At 38.5% G+C, this 11,391-nt stretch overlaps 1 long non-coding RNA gene across 1 annotated transcript; it reads right to left on the bottom strand.

Moving 5' to 3' along the window:
- Positions 1-416: 416 nt before the first annotated feature.
- Positions 417-9,944, bottom strand: LOC105374960 (uncharacterized). Its single transcript, NR_134615.1, has 2 exons — positions 9,849-9,944; positions 417-951 (listed from the first exon to the last, which is right to left on the bottom strand). It is a non-coding gene; the product is annotated as an uncharacterized LOC105374960 (long non-coding RNA).
- Between the last annotated feature and the right edge of the window lie 1,447 nt (positions 9,945-11,391).

Below are 11,391 nucleotides of genomic sequence, written 5' to 3'. Positions count from 1 at the left end.
CCATTCAGTTCCTTGATTTATGGGCAAAAGACTGAGAAAGAATTGCAAACAAAGAAGTCTCCAATTTACCTAGTTAAATGCTGATCAATTTAAACTTCACGTGAGAAACATTTATAAAAACTTCTGATACAAAATAGGGAGCAGAGAATCTCTGCAAGAGGCCTAAACAATTATTGGTGTTGTTTCAGTGTGTCAGATAAAGAAAGTGAGAAATGAAGCATTTCTTGTATATTTAAGGCTGAGTAAAGGTTATCATTCAAGGAAAGATTACCTTTTCTTTCCATTCATCCAAAAGATAATTGCACAATATTCACATTCCTCAAAGCACTCTGAAGATGACATGGGAATTGAAACTTCTAGTGTATCCAAAGGAATTTAGAAGCACAGAATAATGTCAGGCTCAGATCAAATAAAAATAACTTTTATGTCTCCATTTATTAAAAATGCATGTTTTGTTTTCAAATGTTTTCTTCCACAGCAGTTACACACTGGCAAGACCCAGTTTGAAGCTTTTTAACTAGTGCTTTTTGACAACTCCAAAGCTCTTTCCCTCCTGTCCAAATGCTGCTCCTTCATTAAGTCCCCCAAGGAAGCAAACCAGCCAACGGCAAATAGAGACAATACACCCTCCTTGTTCCAATGAACTTGTTCCGTTCATTTGTCAGAAAATGGAGAGATGCTTGTGAGAAAGCTGACTTGGAAACAAAGCCCACACGGGGCAGTCCTGTTTGGCACCACAATCTTTTATGTAGATGGTGGATGAGGATCTTATATGCCATTTACACAAAAATTAATACTTAAAACAACATGTACAGAAAGTGGTTCCAAGTCCCAGTCCCATTGCAATCTCTTCGTGTTCTCTTCTGTGTCTCTCAGTATTCTGTGCTATTTTCTAGGCTTCTTTCTTCTTTCAGCGCACTTTGTCTTCCTGTGTGCCCCTTCCTCCTCCTCCTTTAAAAATTTAAACCAGAATGATTGCAATTCTTTCCTGGAATTTGTTCTTTCCATCAAAATTAGAATACAGTATTATCCCTTTACTCTAAAAACATTCTTGTTTTTTTATCCAACCCAGAATATGTGGAAGCAAAAGATTAACATACTCTAATAGCTTTTTATAACATAAAAATTTATATTGGCCGGGCGCGGTGGCACACTCCTGTAATCCCAGCACTTTGGGAGGCCGAGGCGGGTGGATCACGAGGTCAGGAGATCGAGACCGTCCTGGCTAACACGGTGAAACCCCGTCTCTACTAAAAATACAAAAAATTAGCCGGGCGCGGTGGCGGGCGCCTGTGGTCCCGGCTACTCGGGAGGCTGAGGCAGGAGAATGGCGTGAACCCGGGAGGTGGAGAGTGCAGTGAGCCCAGTTAGCGCCACTGCAGTCCGGCCTGGGCGAAAAAGCGAGACTCCGTCTCAAAAAAAAAATTTATATTGTCCCGAGAGCTACATTTTGTGAAACAAACATCTGCTGATCGTAGTCCATGTACCAGCTCTGTGGTAGTGATTGGACAATGAATAGAATGGTCCCTACCTGCAGCTAGATGACAGTCTATGTGGTTAACATAAGCTATCTCTGTGGTGTCTTTGACACCGTACCCTTTTGAGAGGGGAATGCTTAAGTTCCGGCTCAGACTTTTATCCCAAGATTGATAAAACACAGTATGATAAAAATGTTCTTCCCTTTTTCTCATTCATGAAATGAGTCAATGCGACTAGGCTGAAAGATTGTTTTCTGCTTGACTATTTCATATAAACTGAGTGGTAAAGAGTTCTTTGGCCTTCTCACAGTCTGGTTTGATTTTTCTGTGGTGGTGACATTCAGTGTCTCTTTGAGGAGCTGGGAAGGCAGGAGGCAGAAAAGGGGCCTAAAGAAGGGGAATACAAACTTGAGCGCAACCCTCAACTTTCTTAGATTTTTCTAGTCTTGAGAGTAGAAGGAATGAATCAAGTCTGCATATATGCCCAAATCTCTCCAAGCAGACTCTTTGTAAGCTTTGACTTTATGTGCTCAAGTAAGAAAATCTCTTCTGTCTTCATTATGATTAGATTCGATAGCGATATGGTGGGTGAAATGTTGCTCTCTAAATCTGAATCATGTGCCGTGGGGCAGAGCCCAGGGTTTGACCTGGGGAAGATGCTCTTTTTGAAACTTCTCCACCATTAATTTATGCATTCACAAAGTGGAAATGACGTCTTAAAGATGGGGGTCCTCTTTCTATGTTATGCTTCTTCATTTTCAGGCAGTGAGTAAAGAAGCGTAAATACAGAGATGGCTTTTGGGTTGCTATATTCCCACCTGACATACGCTGTCTCTGCAGGGCTCCAGAACTGGAACATTATACAGAGTCTTCAAAAACCCTTAATTCACTTTTGAGCTTTAATTATTTCAGAAGTATGAATGTACTGTCTTGTTCAAGTGTCTCTTAAAATAGTAATTATTTATATTTTTAATATGTATGCAATTTTGGGAATCTTAACTGATTTTTTTATTTTATTTTTCTAGTCAGTGTGTACCATTTTCAGTAAGAGAAACTGGAAAAAGTTAAAAACAGATTTTGAAAAATTCACAAAACTGCATGAGCCTAGAGGAAAGGTAACCAGAAATATGACAAATGGTCTTCGGAAGTTTGTAGCATTTGTTTCTGCCTAAGTTATGAAAGCTCAAAACTCCACTAAGACTTCTGGGATAACCTGTAATAGGTGACAGCTTATTTTGAAATTCAAATACTTTCAAATATTTTAAAAAATAGATTGAAATGCAAAAAGACAAGAACATGCATTTAACATAACTTTTGAGTTAAAAACTCAATAAAATTAATGTCAGAAGACATTGGATGTCTATGGATGCTGATAAAAACTATGGATACTCACAAAAATTAGTCAACCTCTTAAAAGAAGTTTGTTTTTAACAATAGATTTTCGATTTAGAGAGACATCACAGAATTTTGCCAATTCTGGAGGCCAGCTAGAGCTTCTCTTAGAGATTGGGGCAGAAGAAGTCAGCAGTGAAGTATCAATTCATGACCCTGGCTTAGGAAGCCAGACTCCTAAGCTCTTTTGATGTAGCTTCTATTTAGAATACAGTCAAGCCTGGGTCACTGCTGGGATTTTAATTTTAGACACAAGGGATGTAAAATATTGGGCAATATGAGCAAACTTTGCACTTCTCTCTAGAAATGAAGGAGTTACATTCTCCTGTCCTGTCTGACGTTTGGTTACAGAGTGCAGTGAACTGCTCAAGAGTAAGGCATTTGGTTAAGAGGCGGCACTGCGTATCTATAGAACAGATTAAAGTGTATGCTGATTCTGTTTGCTTTGAGAGCAAATATTTTCCCTGAATTTTAGTCTCTTTGGTTGGATGTACGGAATGGGCACGTGCAATGGGCACCATGCCTTGCTCCATCAGCAGCCCTGCCCTCTAAGGCAAGCTGGCAGTGTGAGGAGCCACAGTCACCCATCAGCTGTCTGTGTGTCCTCCATTACACACTACATGTATAAATTATAGCTCATGTCCTCCTTCGTGCCTCACTTAGAGGGTTTATAGTGGCAATTACCTGTTCACAGACCTACTGCATGTTTGCTGCTACCATGCCCAGTTCTGAATCTGGCTTCAATCAGATATTTGATATGTCTTTACCAACACAATAGACATTAAGCTGATACAACGAAGTACAATAATTATGTGATGTGGGATGCCCTTGGTTTGCTGGTAAATTTTATTTGGGGTTATGCAGTATAATCCAGGCTTGCTGTTGGATTTCACTGGCATCGACACAACTGAGGAAGAAATCCAAACCTGGACATGCCACTTATGCAATTAAATATGCTGCCCCTTGTATATACTTTACCTCCCATATTTTACAGTGAGACAATAGTTTCTTCAATGATCAAGTGATACAGCATGTAGTAATTACTTGAAGTGATAGTAGCTCTGATTTTTGGCTCCATGTAGTGATGCCCTTTCTAAAAATTCAAGTCATTCAAAATTGGAATAAGCTGCCTAGTGGGTGGTGAATGCCCCATCACTGGAAGTGTTCAAGTGCAGCCATCTGTCAGGAATGCACTGGACAGAACCACTATGTTGGGTAGGATATGATGCCCTCTAATACTCTTTGCAATATGAAGTTCTTTGGTTGTTTCAAGTCTTCATTTTGTAATACTGTAATGATTCAGATTAGGGATACTCACTCTTCACTTCCAACTGGCCTTACTATAGAAAGCACTCTCACTTCCCACAATTAAAAAATGTACATTTGCCCAAATAACGGCATCCTCAACGTCGTTTTGCCCTTTTCCTATTATAGGTATAGCGACTGAGAAATATGTGATGACTAGATCTAGGGGAGGAGTGGGATGCCACACTGCCCAGCTCTGCTGCTTACTAGCTATGCGACAGGGGCAAGGTTCATAAACCTGAACCCTGAGGTTGGTCATCTGCTAAATTCAAAGCACAACAAGTACCTCCCCAACAGAGCGCTGAAGGACTAAATAAAAATTTAAAGTATTTAGCACAAGGCATAGTACTTCTAGGAATATGAGCATTCACTATTTGTTGTGGTGGTTTTTATTGTTTACCTGGGTTATCTGTTCTCAATCAGCAAATCTGTCACTTGTGTACCATGAACAGATGATGGATTAGATTTAGAGAACTGTGTTAACTATTGGCATTTTTAAAGGACAAATAAACATGATCATTTTTTGCTATTTATGTATTTTCACTCATCTGTACATTAATTTCTATAACTCTATTAATGATGTTATTTTTAAGGACAGCTTTAAAGTTTGAACAAATACTTCTTATGTGTATAGTCAACTTAAAACAATTTTAAATAGCCTATAATTGTGTAGTACCTCTCTTAAATTCCAACCTCAGGTTTAAAAGCCTGTGTTACTTATCATCTATTGCTATTAACATTGTGGAAGCTTATTGTATTTATGTGACAGACAATATTTGGACTTAAAATTTTTCAGATTTTTGTTGTGTTTACTGAGCTCTGATTCATATAAAAGTGGTAGCTCCAGTTTAATGTAGGAATTCTGCTTGCATGTGCGGCTTTCCTTCCCATTGAAAGAGAAATGATCCCAGTGAGTGAAAAGCAAAGATAAGCTGAGAATAGAGTTGCAATCTTAGTTTGTGCAGGTGCTGTTTTGTTAACATCCTGGTGCATGTGCATTGTATTTTTGCACACACAGTCACAGTCAATTTTTTTTTTTTAGAACATGCATTACAATGTTCAGCTCATTACAAGTCATAACAAAGCTCCGTTGGAACCAAAGAGAAGACTCATGCTCTGTATATACCGAGAAGCTGTTCCCATTGTAACTCAAAGAATTCTAGTTCAGAAAATATCAACTGGCAATTTGCTTTGTGGGTTGTTTACAGACCAGCTACTTTTTGCCTTCCATTTTTTATGTGCTGTATTGAGACAGTCTCATACTTTGAGGTTAGTCTTCTCAAACAGGCTTTAAGATGATAAAAATCACACCAGGTCCAACTGGATCTTTATGTCATAAGACCATTTTCCCTTTTCCTCTCTACTTCTTTTCCTCCATTCAGAGCTAAAACAAACCACTTCATAAGAACCTCATGAAATTTTCCCTGTGTGCACTTTAGTTAAAAGACCCTCCTGTGCAGTGCATTCAACTCTGTGGGGACACTGTGCCACAGTCAGCTTGCTGGGAGATCAAAGTGGAGAATCTTCAGCTTGCAGAATGCCTGATGTGTCTCTGTAATGCATCTAGCAGGCTTTCTGAGTGCACTCTGTTGCAGAAGGCTAAAGGGAAAGGGCATTTTATCATAACACAGAAGACATTCAAATTTTGAGATAGCTTAGAGGATCAAAATAATTTTATCTTCAATAGATGAAATGACTAAATGGCTTTCCCCAGGTCAACATCCACAGGGATACATTCTCAGGCATTTTTGGGGGGCACCAAATTTCTTCTTTTTTCCAATCAGAAAATTTCTAATTTGATTTATAAATTATGAATGTAACTTCTCAGTTCTTTAAAATATGAGATATGGAGAAGGGTTGTGTTGGCTACTACTCACTTCAGCAGCTCAGGTAATACAGTGTGTGCATTTCAAGAAATATTAAAACATGTTAAATATTGTATATGCAGTTTTATTCTGGGCTTTTAAGCTTTCTCTCTCTCTCTCTCTCTCTCTCTCTCTCTCTCTCTCTCGGTCACTCTCTCTCTGTCTTTGGCAGCCTGGTCTTGTCCTCAACTAAACTATTTCCTGCCTACTAATTTTGAACAATAACTTAAGTTTGCTTGATAGATTATTTGTCATTGGTATCTCAATTTCTTTACCAAGTACCTTTTTTTGCTGAAGATCTAGTAAATAGTTCGACAGGTTTTGAAAGCGGAAGAAACTTTAAAAAATCATTTTAGTTAAGTGTTGACCTCCACATTTTATGCAGTAGGGGTCTGAAATTTGTGCAATATTTCACATTTACTAAGTGAATTACATATTTTATCTAATCTATAACACCAAAGATTGTAAAATATGCCATCACTTTGTGTACCGATAAGACAGAAAAAAATTACCAACTTAAATTATGCACTCACTTTCATATAATCACTCACATCCAGATTAAAGAGAGATTATAAGCATAAGATCATGCTGTTAATACAAACGTATCTCTCCTTTATGAAATATATAATTTGCACCCTGTATTTCATAAACATAGCAAATATTGCAAAGAGTAAGCACATGTCTTCTCTAAGAGGAAATCAGGATAAACACTTAGATTGACTGGGGAGGCAGGCACAGGAAAGGTGAAATACCAAATCAAGTATACTAAGCTTTAAGACATTTTTTTTTTTTTTTTTTTTTTTTTTTTTTTTTTGGCTAGAGGCTGTCCTGGGATTACTAATAGACTACATAATAAGGCAAGCGTATCCAATATTCTCTTCTAGTTACAGTGCCTTCCCTCTCTGCACATCATGGTTGTTTGTTGCAAGGGATCACCTGAATGATAGTGATTGCTCAAAGTTCCTAAGCTTCATAAGATTGACTCCAGGGCATTGCTGCTGGTGCTGGTAGCTGTTCCCCAGCCTCAGGCCCTTAAACTCCTGCAGGGGGAGTGTGTCTAGAGGCTGCCTCTCTTGTCTGCTCAGACATTTTATCCACTGTCTCCACCAAACCAGAGTCATCTCTGGGGCTTGGAGGAGTGATACTACTAGCTTCCTCACAGGACAGGATCCTTGGCCTAGGAACAGTAGATACTGATTAGAAATAAAGGAGATTGGGAAATCCAAAACCAATTATATAGCTTTTGCTTTGAACCACCTATTAGTGTGTGGCATAGTCTATCAGTGTGAATAAATAAATTGTAATAATTTGGACTTGATCCTTCTTTCGTAAAATGTGTGGTCTGTAGATATCACCTGTGAGGAGAGATGGTATTTGTCATTTAGATTCTACCTGACTGCTAACTTGCTTTGGAAAAGTAGATGATTACTTTGTCCGAAAATGAAGTGTAACACTCCAGTCTCCAACGAAACAAAAAAAGGTAGCATGTGTACTAACAAGTCTCAGAAATCACCCCTGTTTAATTAATATCTTGCTTTTATTACTCAATATTTTGTATTCTATTCAAAATACCACAAAATTAAGATAATAGCTCCGTAAAATTGATTCAGAGATGTTAATTATTTCTTTGCTTGTCTCCAGACTTATTATAATTCATTACTTTCTCCTGATGTGGTTAATGTTGTCATAGTTTGGAGCTGGTATACTGTACCATTAAGAATTTTTATAAGGCACCACTTATATGATTATATCACTTTGATTTTTAAAATGCCTTCATTTATTTCCTGGAAGTTATCAAGCTGACATGAAAAAGCCATCATCTAATAGGAGTGAATTTTCATAATGCTATTTTCATCAAATTTTATCCTCAGATATTGTATTTGGCCCTGTGACAAACATTAGATTTCCTTTCTTGCACTTTTTCTTAATCTAATAAAACATATGTTATGTATACTGACTGTATATTATTGGTTGTAATATACTATGTATATTTTCTTGTTTTTATAAATGTTTTTCAACTAAAATTTTTGTAAATAGAAGCAAGCCTTTCACAGCTATATCTATGGATCCCAAAACAAGAGGAGAAAATTGGTGGTTACCTGTTACACTATGTAGCAATCACTTATAATTTTTATGAAACAAATTCTATTTGGCAATGGAATTTAATCTAACAGGACTATTGCAATATTGTTGGCTTCCTGCTTAACTTTGAGTTGGGTAACCCAAAGGGCTGATTGCTTGTCTGTTGGCTATCAGCTCCAGGCTCATGCATCTGTGTTTCTCTCTTATAAGCAAGCTGAAAGTCTGCGAACTTTATTTTTAACAAGATTCCCTCCTTACCAAGCAGCTTTCTTATACTCTCCTAGCGGGAGGTCCTACCAGGAAATTGGACGGTGGGAATAAGCTTGAGAGCATTTTATAAAAAAGAACGAGATCATGTCTTTTGCAGGGACATGGAAGGAGCTGGAGGCCATTATCCTCAGCAAGCCAACACAGGAACCGCAAGTTCTCACTTATAAGTGAGAGCTAAATGATGAGAACACATGGACACATAGAGGGGAACAACACACACTGGGGCCTCTCAGGGTGGTGGGTGGGAGGAGGGAGAAGGTCAGGAAAAATAACGAATGGGTATTAGGCTTAATAACTGGGTGATGAAATCATCTGTACAACAGACCCTCATGATACAGGTTTACCTGTGTAACAAACCTGCACATTCTGCACATATACCCCTGATCTTAAAATAAAGTTTTTTTTGTTGTTTTTTTTTTAAGGATTGTGGGCATTTTTTCCTCTCTTGGCTTCAGGCAGTGTATAGGCAGAGTAGCAGAAGAAGCAGGTTACTTCTATGGTCTTGCCAAGTAGTGGCAATGGTGGCTCTGACAGCAGCCGGAGATTATCCAGCAGCTTTAATGGCAGAGATTATGGGCTCTTGAATAGTATTTTCCCTTTCAGTCTTGTCACTGACAGGATAGAAGTATCATCTTGCAGTTACTGATCAAACCCTCTCCTTTTTGCTCTTTTAGATCCTCCAATATTAAGTAACCAATTTTCTACATTGTTACCTGCATTAGAAATTCCTCAAGTTGTTTCAATCTTCCTGGCTGAGCTCTGACTGATGGATCTAGTAAAACCATATAGAACCTTTGCACACAGCAGGGGAAAGCCCAAATAAGGAACCATGGGAACTTGATACTATTTGTTCATCTAGGTCTCAATTAATGAGCAAGATTATTAAATGTCTACAGGCAACATGTTACACAAAGTTGTAATAATAATAAAGAATAGAAAGATTGTATATTTTGGCTAAGTAGGTTGCCAGTTTACTTATTTATTCATTAATTTAATTTTATTTTTTTGAGACAGGGTGTTACTCTGTAACCCAGGCTGGAGTGCAGTGGTGTAATCATGGCTCACTGCAGCCTCAACCTCCTGGGCTCAGATGATCCTCCCACCTCAGCCTCCTGGGTAGCTGGGACTACAGACATGCACCACCATGCCTGGGTATTTTTTGGTATTTTTTGTAGAGATGAGGTTTCACCATGTTCCCCAGGCTGGTTTCAAATTCTTGAGCTTAAGCCACCTGCCTACCTGGGCCTCCCAAAATGCTAGGATTATAGGCATCAGCCAGTGTGCCCAGTGAGGCTGCCAATTTACAATTCAGGGAGAATCTTCCTTGGATTCTAAATATTAAATAATCAGCTGTCTTTACTCAGTTCACACCAATTTGATCATAAGAACAAGCACCTCTCATACCCTCACATTTCCCCCATTAACACAGAACTCTCAGCTACTGCCCAATACTCACCATTTTCCACTGTCTTATTCCATCAGATCCATTAATGATCATGAAAAGCACAGCTGCAGTGTTGCCATGAAGCCACTTCCTACCTCCTCTAGCTTCCAATATTTACTAATTCTGGAAAGAGTCCTTTCTGGTCATTTCTACTTGTTAGAACCCCCAATAGATAAGGCGCTTTTGCCCCAGTCTGTCACAGAAATTTTAGTGTCATGTCTAACTCAAGTTTTGCTCTTTATTACAACCCTCTCTCCCTAAGCAGAGGGTGGGGTTATGCAAATAATAGGCACAGCACATACTCAAAAAACCCTTTCCCCTTTGGCTGTTCACTTAAGCATCTCAACATGTTCTCCCTCAATATGTTCTCTTTATCAAGGAGCATTCTTAGTTTGAACCCTCTCCCCGCCACGTCTCCAGGACCCCAAAAGATGTCAATATCCTATGGTAAGTTCAACTTAGGCTGAAGCTGGTGTCCTAGCTACATACTGATCGCCCAATTCACTGACTATTTCAAGTGTCACTGTTATTGTCTGTGTTTATGTTGGACTCTATTGTCTGAAGTTTGGACAAATGAATTTTTCTGTGCCTAAACTTCCTGACATGTTTAAAAAGAACAAAAACGGGAGTGGTGAGGCATGTATGTGGCATGGTGACACTTCACTCCTGACAGTGGTTGACCCCAAAGTACTTTTTGTAAATACTTGTTATTTAAATGCCGAATAAGTGATAATAAAGTTTATTTTATTATTTTGCTTCAATAACACAGTCTCAAAGCTCTGTGATCCCATTTTCTAGTTCATTTTTTCTCAGTCACCTAATACCATAGTTGCATGGGATTCAAGCCCCTTAGTGTTAATTTAGGGACTTAATTACTTTTGGGAAGCTTGCTGGCTTCTAGCTCTTTTAATTTTCAAACCAAGTTTAAAGAGAGTCATTGAAAGTCACTTCAAGTAATGTTTTAAGGCAAAACACCCTAAGCTTTTTTTTTTTTTAAAGTACATGGTGCTAAGTAAAGTTTAACTCTTAAAAGATTAACTATGGTGTAATGAATGTGTACTGTCCATGGACAGCTTCCTGGTCTCACCTGGGCTAATTATTTGCGAATTATTCTCTGCTTTCAACTAAAGTGTGCACGCACACACACACAAATGACTTGTGCATTTGTGTGTGTGTGTGTGTGTGTGTGTGTGTGTGTGTGACCTATTTCTCATGCCATTCGCTTTGTGTGTGCCACTAGGGACCTTTGAGGGATCACATCACAGGGAGCCGAGGATATGGCAGAGTAGCTTCTTTTTCAACCATTTTATTGTTGCTCTTGAGCCTGTAACTGTAGCCTATATATAGCACAAGGCTTTAGGGCAAGGCTCCCTGCATTACCTTTCTCTGTTATTATAAGCTCATCTCAGAGTTAATAATTTCCTCCAAGGAGGTGATGCTGTAATAAAGATAATTAAATTGAAATTTAATATAGTGGGGCATTGTACTATAGCTTTATATCAGATGAGGGTTCTGAGAGAAACCATTGCTGTGAGGGTGGAGTGTAAGGTATGTA

Source organism: Homo sapiens, chromosome 6 (genome assembly GCF_000001405.40).
Source record: "Homo sapiens chromosome 6, GRCh38.p14 Primary Assembly".
Classification (NCBI taxonomy): domain Eukaryota; kingdom Metazoa; phylum Chordata; class Mammalia; order Primates; family Hominidae; genus Homo; species Homo sapiens.
Note: the sequence above shows the minus strand (reverse complement) of the source record. Positions and strands in the feature narration are given on the sequence as shown.